This window comes from Homo sapiens, chromosome 1, assembly GCF_000001405.40.
Source record: "Homo sapiens chromosome 1, GRCh38.p14 Primary Assembly".
Lineage (NCBI taxonomy): Eukaryota > Metazoa > Chordata > Mammalia > Primates > Hominidae > Homo > Homo sapiens.
The window spans coordinates 11,066,618-11,080,031 of NC_000001.11; the positions used below are offsets into that span (position 1 = coordinate 11,066,618).

At 50.1% G+C, this 13,414-nt stretch overlaps 1 protein-coding gene across 5 annotated transcripts in view, besides 1 other annotated feature; it reads right to left on the minus strand.

The window, feature by feature from the left end:
* Window positions 1–13,414, minus strand: part of EXOSC10 (exosome component 10) — a 33,252-nt gene continuing 19,838 nt past the window's right edge. For 3 of the 5 annotated variants that reach the window (XM_005263475.3, XM_047422661.1, XM_047422663.1), the window contains 12 exons: window positions 13,094–13,205; window positions 10,984–11,034; window positions 10,748–10,826; window positions 10,225–10,331; window positions 7,614–7,709; window positions 7,317–7,391; window positions 5,470–5,554; window positions 4,283–4,371; window positions 2,942–3,113; window positions 2,028–2,089; window positions 1,391–1,467; window positions 1–131 (listed from right to left, as the gene is read on the minus strand). In XM_005263475.3, the coding sequence (XP_005263532.2) occupies window positions 101–131; window positions 1,391–1,467; window positions 2,028–2,089; window positions 2,942–3,113; window positions 4,283–4,371; window positions 5,470–5,554; window positions 7,317–7,391; window positions 7,614–7,709; window positions 10,225–10,331; window positions 10,748–10,826; window positions 10,984–11,034; window positions 13,094–13,205 (1,036 nt within the window). In that variant the 3' untranslated portion in view covers window positions 1–100. The remainder of the gene's footprint in view (window positions 132–1,390; window positions 1,468–2,027; window positions 2,090–2,941; window positions 3,114–4,282; window positions 4,372–5,469; window positions 5,555–7,316; window positions 7,392–7,613; window positions 7,710–10,224; window positions 10,332–10,747; window positions 10,827–10,983; window positions 11,035–13,093; window positions 13,206–13,414) is intronic. The other 2 variants (NM_001001998.3, NM_002685.4) reach the window with 2 other exon arrangements.
* Window positions 6,350–6,399: an enhancer, noted in NCBI's record as "active region_163". NCBI's record gives its function as "activates an Ori minimal core promoter by ATAC-STARR-seq in GM12878 lymphoblastoid cells {active_cell/tissue: GM12878}" and the evidence as "EXISTENCE:reporter gene assay evidence [ECO:0000049][PMID:35858748]".

A 13,414-nucleotide genomic window follows, 5' to 3' on the forward strand; every position in this document is an offset into this window, starting at 1 on the left:
TTTCTTCAGGAAGAATTTTAATGGTTTAAAAATATGTATGTACAAAAGCAGCACCAGCATTTGGTGCTTCCGGTCCACAGGCGCCACGTGTCTTCCAGGACTATCTCTGTGGCCAGTTGTACCTGAAGCCTCTGCAGAGAGTACAAAAACAACAGTTATTTCTTCCGGGCTGGTTGGATGTTCTCAGATGGTTTACAAAATGGTGCAAATCTTAATCATGCAGAACAGAGGAAGAATGGTTTGCTCAGGGGCCCCAGAGAACTCGGCGGCCCACCAGAGTTGGCTGAGCTGAGCAGCATCTTGAGAAGGCAGACCTGTTTTTCCTGCCCTCGGGCAAGTCCCCTGACCTCAGGGTCGGCTTAATTATTAGGATTTTATGTTTTTAACAAAAACATTTGGCTGGGTGCAGTGGCTCACACCTGTAATCCCAGTACTCTGGGAGGCCAAGGCGGGAGGATCAATTGAGGCCAGGAGTTTGAGACCAGCCTGGCCAACATGGCAAAACCCCATCTCTACTAAAAATACAAAAACAGGCCGGGCGCGGTGGCTCACGCCTGTAACCCCAGCACTGTGGGAGGCCGAGGCGGGCGGATCACAAGGTCAGGAGATCGAGACCATCCTGGCTAACATGGTGAAACCCCGTCTCTACTAAAAAATACAAAAAATTAGCCGGGCATCATGGCGGGCGCCTGTGGTCCCAGCTACTCGAGAGGCTGAGGCAGGAGAATGGCGTGAACCCGGGAGGCGCAGCTTGCAGTGAGCAGAGATCGTGCCACTGCACTCCAGCCTGGGCGACAGACCGAGACTCCATCTCAAAGAAGAAAAAAAAAAAAAACATTAGCCGGGCATGATGGCAGGCACCTGTAATCCCAGCTACTCGGGAGGCTGAGGTGAGAGACTTGCTTGAACCCAGGAGGTGGAGGTTGCAGTGAGCTGAGATTGTGCCACTGCACTCCAGCCTGGGTGACAGAATGAGACTCTCACAAAACAAAACCAAACCAAGCCAAACCACTCTTCAACAACAAGGATAACCCACATGTGCTTACTTTTTCCTCATTCCTAATAGGCTGGTCCAGGAAAATTTCACAACTATTTACACCTATTTTCCCTGAGGTGACCCCAGGACACACGGTAACTAGAGAGCCAGGAACAAGGGGAATCTGAGTCCTGGGGTGCAGTGCCTGGCTCTGTGATGTATGGCACAGAGCAAATCACCTCCCGCCCTTGTTTTCCGAGTGGCGTGAGGGACCTGGCTGTGGGAGGTTCTCTGAGTCATCCTGGTTGAAGACCCCTGGACACTCGCTCCCCAGCTACTCCCCACGGACCACACCACGCAGGGCAGGTGCTTTCTCACTGGGCTCCCTGGGCCACACCGCCGTCCACCACATACCTGTCTGACTTTCCAGTTGGAAAGGACATGCTTTTGTTTCCCACCGACTGTTTAATTTTTTTGGCTGCAATGCATTTCTGAAAAGAAAAGAAACCGTTTAAGCTGGGTGGGCACCTTGACCACAAGATACACAGAAAAACACACCTGAGCTCAGGTGGCCAAAGATTCTAGCAGCACAGGAGTGACTTTAGATCCCCTGAGAGAGGATGTTTCTGTGTCTCTGAAGGCAAGGCCGCCAGGATGCGCTGCAAGAGGAACAGGAGCACCCCAAAGCAGCCCTGCCCCCGCGCCTGTGGAAGCTACAGCCACGCTGTTTCCCTGGCACCAGCACCAACACCCACGAGGGGTGAATGCAGGCTTGTGCTGGCCCCAAAGGGGGTGCTTTTGGCCTGCAGCTATAGTTCCCATGGTAGCAAACACAGAATAATACCCTTTAAAGCCACATGCCAGCTTTTACAGCCTCGTTTTATGAGTTGCTGGGGTAGCTGATCAGTACTGTCTGCCCTTGGGAAGAAATGAGGTGAGGAAAAAGATATGCAAAGGAATGGACTCCTGGATGGGCCTGTCTTCTCAGCAGAGGAGGAGGTCAGAAACAGGCGCCACCAGCGTGCTAAAATCCTCCAGGAGCAGTTCTTACCTTGCCAGACGGGGTCTGTTTATTTGGATCAAACTGAGAAGAAACTTTGGATTTGCTGTTTCCTGAAAGGTAAGAGATGAGAGAGACCTGCGGTCAGGTCAATGAGTTACCACACATCACAGGCTCACAGCGAGGCCGGGACCATGACACTCAGGGAAGCCTTGGCTGTGAGAGCACCCCTGTCACGATGAGGGGCTAGGGCTCATGGCTCACATAAATGAATACATAGCGATCCTGGTCCCTGTGGGCAGTCTGAAAACCAGGCCCATTTCTCTCAGCTCTAGTCCCAGGACCTTAGGGGCAGGTGGCTACAGCAGTGGCCCCCGCACATAAGGAAATCCATTCTGATCTCTGTGCTGGGTGATGCCATAAGGAACTCGGGCTCTGAGGCGACACTCCTGTATAAAGGGCCATTGTGTGGACTGGCCTCTGCTTTCTCTTTTCCAAAGGAGCATGTTGCTCCGAAGGCTGCTAGAGTCGAGAATGCCATCTGTAGCCCCTTCAAAGCAGACGGACTCTCACAGCCCAAGCAGCCATAGGGGTTCATGTCATAGGCTTTGAGATTTTTCAACAAACAAAATTCTGTGTGTGTGTGTGTGTGAGAGAGAGAGAGAGGGTTTATGGGCACAAGTTATAGTGAGGAAGGATGGCGCCCTGGTCACAGTGGAAGTGACAGGTGATCTTGCTAACCCACCATGGAGGCCACCATGAGTTGAGCTCCCATGGAGGAGGTGGTAATGAGGCTGCAGGCGACTGTCCACATTGCCACGGCCTCTCTGGACTACTCCAACAATTCCTGGCTAGCACCATGCCTTGTGCAGGACTCACTTGGCCCCTATATTGTGGTCTCTTTATGGCTTCCTCCCCTCTGACGCGCACAGATGTCCCTGTATGGGGCCCCATTACTTCCTCACCAGCAAAAGCCTTGAAGTCTGACTGGCTGTAGTCGTAAGGCGTAAACTCTTTTTCTGGTGGCTCTGGGTCCTTTGGCTTCTTGGAAATTTTGAGTCGTTTCTTCTCTTGTTTCTGTTCTGTGGTCCTTGGGTCGCTTGTTGCTCGCTCTCTCTTCTTTGCAGCATTTTCTAGCTGTAGATCAGGAACAGATGTGGGGGAGGAACAGGGAGGCACATGGGAACAGGGAACTCCACCGGCCTCAGCAATAGCTGGGACCCAGCTGCCTAAGTGGTAAGAAGAACAGTCAGTGGTGGGGAGAGGAGCTGTGGCTGGAACTTCGGGACCAACACTCAGGGTCAGCTGAAACAAATTCCTCACTGGACAATGACATGAGGTCATTTAAGAAAGGCAAGCAGGCCAGGTGCAGTGGCTCATGCCTATAATTCCAGTGCTTTGGGCGGCCTAGGTGGGAGGACTGCTTTAGGCAGTCTGAGACCAGCCTGGGCAACATAGCAAGACCCCTATCTCTACAAAAAAAAAGAAACAAATGTAGCTGGGCATGGTGGTGCGTGCTTGTAGTCCTAGCTACTTGGGAGGCTGAGGTGGGAGGATCACTTGAACCCAGGAGTACAAGGCTGCAATGAGCTATAATTGCACCACTGTACTCCAGCCTGGGCATCAGGGTAAGAGTAAGACCATGTCACTATTTTTTTTTTAAAAGGAAATTAAAAAAAAAAAAAAAAAAAAGGAAAGGCAGGGGGCAGGGGTTAAGAATTCGAGTGATAGCCTGGGCAATATAGTGAGACCCCGTCTCCACCAAAAACAATAACAAAAAATAGCTGGGAATGGTGGTGTGTGCCTGTGGTCTAGCTACTTGGGTGGTTGAGGAGGGAGGATCGTTTGAGCCCAAGAGTTTGAGGCTGTAGTGAGCTGCAACTGTGCCACTGCACTCCAGCCTGTGCAACAGAGGTAGACACTACTTCAAAAAAAAAAAAAAAAAAAAAAGAGTTCCAGAGTGCTCTGGGGTTTCATTCTCTAGAATGCAACATTTTTGTAGGACACAGCAGGACACACAACAAGCTTCAGCACTGTAACCTCAATACCTTTTCTACTACTACAGTTGAGTGGTCTGGCATATTTACCATAAACACAGTGGAAGAAGGTTAAGAGGAATTACAATATCAATCTTGTGGAGGTTTCGGAAATGAGGTAGACACTAATAGCCAAGCTAAGGTGAACCGGAAAGAAGTCAGGACTTAATATAAAGCACAGGGCAAGCCCCCTAAGATATCCAAGGAAGATCCTGACCACAAGCAGGGGCATCGTTTTTCAAAGGAAAAAGGAGAAAAGCTGGCACATACCACGACCTGCTGTCGGACGGAGATGGCCTGTTCTGCTGCAGCTTTGCACGCCTCCTTTGCCTGTTCCCGGGCAGCTGCAAGGGAGAGAACTTGTCTCTGGAGTTGGTGAATCCAGCAACCACCCTCCCCTCCATCTCCATCCCCCTCCGACTTGGCCTAGCCACAGGGGTTGTCACGGCTGATTCCTCCTCCCTCTCAGGTCCCCGGTCCCCCATCTCTGCAGGACAGGCTGCCTCAGAGCTCAGGCTCAGGTGCTCTGCCCACCTTCAGCTACACGTGAGCTGATCCTCCCCAGCCCTGCCTGCTCCTCTTCTGTGAACCTAAATGCTCAGTGGCCTGTGGACCTGAGGGCGTTTAACAGGATCGTCACCATCACCATCGTGGACAAACCTGCTCAAACCAGCTACTTTGGCTGCCAGCAACTCCAGCTTTCCAGCTGCTCAGGACAAAACCTTCATCCAAGGTTCCCTTCCCTTTTCTCACATGCCACATCCACCTCATCATCAAATGCTGTCAGCTTTGCTATGGGACAGATCAAGGCTCTGACAGCTTCTCACCACCTCCTCTGCTCCCACGCTGGTCTCAAAGCCACCATCCCCTCTCGCCTGAGCCACTGCCATGTCTCCTATCCCTTCCTGGACTCCCATCCTGTCCTCTATAGTCTACTGTTGACACAGCAGCCAGAGTGCCACATGTCAGTCACTTCCCCCCGTCTGCTCAGCACCCTCCTGGCTTCTGAACTCAGAGTAAAAGGCAGCGTCATCCCGTGGGCCTCTGCTGGCTCCTTCCCCATCTCCTGCTCTTCTCTACCCGCTCTGCTCATGCAGGCCCACTTGCTGCTGCTCAGCATGCCCAGTGAACTAGCCCCAGGGCCTCTGGGCTCGCTGTGCTGTGGCTCCAGAACTCTTCTCTAGGTCACTGCAGGTCTCGTCAATGTCGCATTCATTAGACTGCCTTCTCCAACCACCAACGAGACAGCTACAGCACCTCCAGCACTCCCCACCAATCTCTCTGCACAGCACCTGCTGCCATCTGCCAGGATAGATACTGATTGCCCACCATCCCTCAGCAGAAGGGAAGCCCCACAGGGGCTTCATTCATCGCCGTATCTGGCACTTGGCTGAAACAGCGGGTGTGCAACAGCCATTCTTTAACAGCCGACTGAGTTGCAAGGAAGTGAGTGTTACCTGTTTGCTCAGCTGCCTTCTTCTTGACAGCTTCTTTAGAGTCTTTTTGTACTTGTACCTGGGCCAGCTTCCAGCGGTTGCTGATCTATAATGAAAGCAAATATAACAAAAAAAACCCTCCAAAGTCAGCCACCTAAGTCTGTCTTACTTTTCATGAGGTGACGAAGGGCAGGTTAACCTAAGAAGTACACACATTCTAAGTCATAAATTTTCAAATCTAAGGGCATGAAAAATAAATTTCATGCTGGCTTTATTGCTAAAATCCCTATTAAGGACAAAGTGCTACTGTCCTCCAGGCACTGGGCCATCCATCATCTCATTCAATCCCTCTGTAACCCTGGGAAAAAGGTACTGTCATCACCCTCTCTTTAGAGATGAGCAAACAGACTCCGGGAGAGTAAATAACTTGTCCAAGGGACATGGTCAGTAAATGACAGAAGCAGACTCAAGGCTGGGCTTCCGCAAGTCTGCTGTGTTTCTTTATGACACCCCACGGACCTATGGCGTTACAACACATGGAGGTGACACTGGGCATAACACACAGGACGTGCAGTTGTTCAGTGTGACATAACCCGTGGGGGGAAAAGAGGAGAGAAGGCAGAAGCCCCACCTGATTCCCCATTTCCAAAAATAGCAAGCTAACTCAGGGACAGGAACGGGGCTGGGGGACCTCTCGGTTTTGCCTAACAAAAGAGCTCTGCTGCCACACAGAGGAAGCCAGTCGCCCATGTCATCAGAGCAGACGCTTCCTAAAGGGAGGAAGGAGGCTGCGAACAACAGTTCACGTTCTGGCTCTGGGGAACATCTCAAGAGGGTCTAGGGGAGGTGTGCTCTCATTCTTACTCATAATGCTGGTAAAAACAAGCCAGATAAGTAAGATAGAGTGTTTTAAAATTAAAGCTGTCACCTTTAAGAGCCTTAAAGTAACAGACATCTATAAAAATGCATCAAGCTGTATATTTAATATTTGTGTACTTTACTACATATAGATTAAACCTCAATTTAAAAACCGCAAATGAAGATTTGTTTCTTACAAAGTTTCCAAGTGCTTTTCTTTTTCTTTTTTGGCTAGAGTTCGCTCTGTCGCGCAGGTTGGAGCGCAGTGGCGCAACCTCGGCTCACTGCAAGCTCCGCCCCCCAGGTTCAAGCGATTCTCCTGCCTCAGCCCCCCGAGTAGCTGGGACTACAGGCGCCTGCCACGACGCCTGGCTAATTTTTTGTATTTTTAGTAGAGACGGGGTTTCACCATGTTAGCCAGGATGGTTTCGATCTCCTGACCTCATGATCCGCCCGCCTCGGCCTCTCAAAGTGCTGGGATTACAGGCGTGAGCCACCATGCCCAGCCCAAGTGCTTTTAAGAATCTCACTGAAGTTCTGGACCCTTTCCCTAGAAACAATGCTAGAAAATAAAGGGCTTTTGCATTCATTTTCACGGGATTCACAGATGAGATAGGCTTGTCTAAAACAGAAACCTGGTATGAATAATTAAGAAATCCCCTTTTCTTAGAAAGTCTCTTTTAGGGCCAGGCGCAGTAGCTCACGTCTGTAGTCCCAGCACTTTGGGAGGCCAAGGCGGGTGGATCACCTGAGGTCAGGAGTTCGAGACCAGCCTGGTCAACATGGTGAAACCCCATCTCTACAAAAATTAGCCGGGCATGACAGCAGGTGCCTGTAATCCCAGCTACTTGGGAGGCTGAGGCAGAACTGCTTGAACCTGGGAGGTGGAGGTTGCAGTGAGTCAAGATTGTGCCTCTGCACTCCAGCCTGGGTGACAAAGCGAGACTCCATCTCAAAAAAAAAAAAAAAAAAAAAAAGTCTCTTTTAGAACAGGTGACAAGTCCACTTACTTCATAGATTTTGGTTGATGGATCGAACTTCGCTGCCTGAGAGACGGGAGCACGGTGTCCCAGTGAGGGCAGAAACTGGAGGAAGGAAATGGCTGTGTGAAACGCTGCCGGGAACGGAATCTAGAGCCACGGGGCAGAAGCGCTCAGATGGGGGGTTGCTGGTGCCTTGTCAGCGTCTTTGCCAGGACACCAGGGCAGCCGACACACTGGCTTCAGAGGCTTCCTTCCCAGGTAAAAGCATGTACAGCTGTAGGCATCTCTGCATATCCTGTCAGCCCTGACAAAACTACTACTCACCATCCTAAATGGATTTTCAAAGGACTCCATGATGTTCTGGGCTTTTTTCTGTGCAACTGTCAATGGACCCTTTTTACTGTCTTCAGCACTAGGTTCCTGCAGGGACAGACAAAAAACGATCACTAATGACCATGATCATCTGTGACATCAAGATGCAAGCAAGAGAGCAACAGTTAACAGTGATTTTTTTTTTTTTTCTGGAGACAGAGTCTCGCTCTTTTGCCCAGGCTGGAGTACAGTGGTGTGATCTCTGCTCACTGCAACCTCCACCTCCTGTGTTCAAGCGATTCTCCTGCCTCAGCCTCCTGAGTAGCTGGGATTACAGGCACGTGCCACCATGCCCAGCTAATTTTTGTATTTTTAGCAGAGACCAGGTTTCACCATATTGGCCAGGCTGGTCTTGAACTCCTGACCTCAAGTGGTCCACCCGCCTTGGCTTCCCAAAGTGCTGGGATTACAGGTGTGAGCCACCGCACGCACCCGGCCAGTAACAGTGATATTAATACCAATGGCTAAGGCTAATTTTTCATACACTCTCTTATGTATAAGGTGTTGTGTCTGCAACAGCACACAGTAGCATTTCAATATCAATGTGCTGGATCAGTGAATTCTCAGCATGTCCTCATAGCCTATGAGGTGGTATTACTCTCACCATCTTACAGAGGAGGAAACTGAGGCCTACAGAGGTTGTGACAGTCTTTCAGAGGCTTGCAGTGAATACAAGCAGACCAAGGATCTAAACCCACCATGGTCTGGCTCTAGAACATGAGGTCTTAATTGATGCCTGAAATTTATTTTATGTATGTATGTATTATTTTTTTGAGTGGAGTCTTGCTCTGTTGCCCAGGTTGGAGTGCAGTGGTGCCATCTCTGCTCACTGCAACCTCCGCCTCCTGGATTCAAGTGATTCTCCTGCCTCAGCCTCACGAGTAGCTGGGATTACAAGCGTGCGCCACAATGCCCGGCTAATTAAAGACAGGGTTTCACCATGTTGGCCAGGCTGGTCTCAAACTCCTGACCTCAGGTGATATGCCCGCCTTGCCCTCCAAAAGTGCTGGGATTACAGGTGTGAGCCACCACGCCAGGCCTGAAATTTAGTATTACATATCTTTATAGGGAATCATTGAAATTATGCAACAAAATGCTGCTTCCAACTGGGTTCATAAATATGTGCTATCCTTTTGCTTCATCTGTAATTATGCGCCCTTGCAACACAAGAGTGCAGGGAGACCACAGCCTCCTTTACACCAAACAGCACTTCCGTATCAAAGCAGCCCAGAGCTCATGCTAACACGCTTAGCTGCTAAATCATCTTCATGACTCAAATTAGCTCTGAGGTCAGCTAAAGCGCCTAGTATTTTCTCATTAATTGCTAAAGCAAGGCCCAATCTAGATTTATGTAATTAAGTTAAAAACCAAAGTGAAGCCTGGGCGACATGGTGAAACCCCACCTCTACAAAACATACAAAAATTGGCTGGGCATGGTGGCATACACCTGTAGTCCCAGCTACTCGAGAGAAGGCTGGGGCAGAGGGATTGCTTGAGCCCAGGAGGCAGAGGTTGCAGTGAGCCAGGATGGTGCCACTGCACTCCCACCTGGGTGACAGGATGAGATCCTGTCACAAAAAAAAAAAAAAAAAAAAAAAAAAAAAATGCCGGGTGTGGTGGCTCATGCCTGTAATCCCAGCACTTTGGGAGGCTTAGGTGGGTGGATCGCCTGAGGTCAGGCATTCGAGACCAGCCTGGCCAACATAGTGGCCCCATCTCTATTAAAAATATAAAATATTAGCTAAGTATGGTGGCGGGCGCCTGCAATCCCAGCTACTAGGGAAGCTGAGGCAGGAGAATCGCTTGAACCTGGGAGGTGGAGGTTGCAGTGAGCCGAGATGATGCCACTGCACTCCAGCCTGTGCAACAAGAGCGAAACTCCATCTCAAAAAACCAAACCAAACAAACAAAAAAAGTGAAATAGCTGGGCACAGTGACTCATGCCTGTAATCCCAGCTACTCAGGAGGCTGAGGCAGGAGGATCGTTTGAGCCTCAGAAGTCAAGGCTGCAGTGAGCCATGATTGTGCCACTGCATTCCAGCCTTGGTGGCAGAACAAGATTGTCTCAAAAAAAAAAAAAATCATTTCTCTTCTTCACTGAAAGCACACATATGTGGTGCTGGGGTCAGGCAGGAAGCTATGGGCAGCGCACATTCTACAGTTCATCGGACAGTACACCCATGCCACCCCTGCTGGGCATCCAGGTGAACCGTTTTTCCTCCACCACCACTGCAGCTTGTCTGGAAAGCCCTGCTTGTATGTTCTCTTAGCGCAGGCCCTCCTCCCACTAGGTGCTGTTCAACAACAGGACGTCAGCCTTTCCTGGAAGATTTCTTCACACAGAGCTCAAGAGAATCCCCCATCCACGTCCCCAGACCACCTCCTCCAGAGTGGTCAGTGCCACCTTGCTCATTGGTCTCTATGCCTCTCCCAGCACTGCTGGGTTTTGCTCTCAGCATTAGTCTCCGAGTGTATGCAATGCTCCAGGCAGACAGCCTGCTGAATAAATCCAGTAAATCCCAGGGGGTCCTCATCACCTCAGTGAAGTTTCTGTGCTACTCACATTAAATAACGTGATGACAGCTGTGGCAATCAGGCATGTGGTACCCAGCAAGTTATCTTCTTTTTCATCAGGGAAGAGGCTCGCCTGCTTCTGAACTGGCACAGATCCTAGAGGAGCAGAAGATAGTAAGGTCAAAGCCTACAGAATTTTGTTTATTTTTTCTTTTTGAGATGGAGTTTTAGTGTAGTCCCCTAGGCTGGAGTACAATGGCACAATCTCGGCTCACTGCAACCTCCGCCTCCTCGGTTCAAGTGATTCTCCTGCCTCTGCCTCCTAAGTAGCTAAGATTACAGGTGCCCACCACCATGCCAGCTAATTTTTGTATTTTTAGTAGAGATGGGGTTTCACCATGTTGGCCAGGCTGGTCTCAAACTCCTGACCTCAGGTGATCTACCCGCCTCAGCCTTCCAATATGCTGGCATTACAGGCATAAGCCACCACGCCCGGCCAAGCCTACAGAATTTTAGACAAGGTAGCTGTGTCCCAACCTCTTCGGGACAGTCAGGAGGGCTCTCGACTTTACCACTGGTTGGGATGATTGGATAGCCATCCGGAGGGGCATGGGAGCAGTCGTGAGGTCCAAAGAGAACATTCTCCAATCTCTGCATTAAAAGACACCAGCAGGCTGGCATGTAAAACGTGCAAGCCGGCAGTAGCTTTCTGCCAGCTGTCAGCACAGGCCTCTGTCAGAGGTGTACTTGCACTGGCTGTGACTTGACGTTTTCCCTCCTGGGGGAGAAAACAGATCCGACACTCTACCTCAGCACTGGGCAGCGGTCCGCTCTTCTTCACTCCGGCTGCAACTTCAGACTAAGGAAAAAAACGAAGGGAATTGAGGAAAGTTGCCCAAGCACCTCAAGTCCAACCCCCAGTCTCCAGCGCTGACTGTATTCCTTCACCAGCCTGTTTCTCAAAAGCCCAGAGATTTTCTTTCCTCTCTTCACTCCTTACAGTGCCTGGCATGATAATTATTTGGTGCTCAATAATTATTTGTAGAATGAAAGAATAAAGCTCTTTAACATGACTAAGCACAATAGGAAGGATTCCAAAGAGCTTGAAAAAGACTCTTCTCTAGTAATCAAGGTCTCTCTTTACTTGGACAAAGTACAGAGCTTACAAAGACATTTTTAACACAAAAATTGCAAATGTGGGGCTGGCAGGTGGCTCACAACTGTAATTCCAGTACTTTGGGAGGCTGAGGTGGGAGGACTGCTTGAGCCCACGGGTTCAAGACCAGTCTGGGAAACACAGCAAGACCCATCTCTACAAAAAATTAAAAAAAACATAGCTGGGTATGGTGGTGTATGCCTGTGGTCCCAGCTGCTCAGGAGGCTAAGGTGGGAGCCTAGCAGATGCGAGGCTACAGTGAGCCATGATTGCACCACTGCACTCCAGCCTGGGTGTCAGAGCAAGACCCTGTTTCTTTTTTTTTTTGAGACGGAGTCTCGCTCTGTCGCCCAGACTGGAGTGCAGTGGCGGGATCTCGGCTCACTGCAAGCTCCGCCTCCCGGGTTCACGCCATTCTCCTGCCTCAGCCTCCCAAGTAGCTGGGACTACAGGCGCCCGCCACTACGCCTGGCTAATTTTTTGTATTTTTAGTAGAGACGGGGTTTCACCGTTTTAGCCGGGATGGTCTCGATCTCCTGACCTCGTGATCCGCCCGCCTCGGCCTCCCAAAGTGCTGGGATTACAGGCGTGAGCCACCGCGCCCGGCTGACCCTGTTTCAAAACAACAACAACAACAAAAAAAACAAAAGAAAACTGGCTGCCATTGTCAGCATTTGCTACGAAGTCTCATCAATCTTTTCTTCTGATGCTTCCTACACCTGTTCTTTCCTTCTCAGTGTGTGATTCCTCACTCATTCAGGGAGCTATCACTTCACATCTGGGCCATCGCCAGGCTCCCAAAACTAGCTCCCTCTGCTGAGGTCACCGCTCCATCTCACTCCACCACATTAACTGCCTTAGAACAGTGAATTGGCCCAGTTACCAGACAGTACTTGCTGCTGAATCATCAAAGCTAAGGTCATAAATAAAGAGTCTTAGCTCTCAACTATCATAAAAAAAAGCAGCTAAATTCATCAAGACACACACACTGGATTTCCTAAGCCCTATTATTTCCCTAGGGTTGTTTAGAATGCAGACCAGCTCATGAATCTAGGAAGCCACAAGGAATAAGACACTAGCAGAAAAAACAGGCCTGCTAAAGTTGGGCATGATGGCTCACGCCTGTAATCCCAGCACTTTGGGAGGCCCAGGTGGTGGATCACCTGAGGTCAGGAGTTCGAGACCAGCCTGGCCAACATGGTGAAACCCCGCCTCTACTAAAAATACAAAATTAGCCAGGCGTGGTGGTGCATGCCTGTAATCCCAGCGACTCAGGAGGTTGAGTCAGGAGAACTGCTTGAATCCAGGAGGCGGAGGTTGCAGTGAGCCGAGATCATGCCACTGCACTCCAGCCTGGAGACAGAGCGAGACTCCGTCTAAAAAAAACAAAAAACAAACAAACAAAAAAAAAACAGGCTTGCTAAGTTGGGACCCTTCAGTAGAAAATCTTTTTTTTTTTTTTTGAGACGGAGTCTCGCTCTGCCTCCCAGGCTAGAGTGCAGTGGCGCGATCTCGGCTCACTGCAACCTCCGCCTCCCGGATTCAAGCAATTCTCCTGCCTCAGCCTCCGGAGTAGCTGGGATTACAGGCGTGCACCACACGCCTGGCTAATTTTTTGTATTTTTAGTAGAGACGGGGTTTCACCATGTTGGCCAGGCTGGTCTCGAACTCCTGACCTGAAATGATCCAGCCACCTCAGCCTCCCAAAGTGCTGAGATTATAGGCGTGAGCCACTGTGCCCAGCCGCAGAAAAGCTTCTTACCTTGAGCAGGGGCATCTCTCGGGCCTGCTGGATTAAAAGGTGCATTTCGTTGATCTGCTGCCGCACAAGGGGCGGTACTGGGTTGCAGCAAGCTATGATGCCCTGAGGTTCCCTGAAGACAAGTAAGAACACACTCAACTTGTCACTCAGAAACGCAGCCCTTAAAGGCTTCCAGATAAGAATAATGACTGGGTAAAGCCAGGCTGCCACCTAAGCTGAAGCTACAGGTAGGTGACTAAGGAAACACTGATGTCAGGCCAGCCTAGGCCAACTTCTCCATGTGTTCTTTGCGACACCAAGCTTTAAGTGGATCCCTCTTGG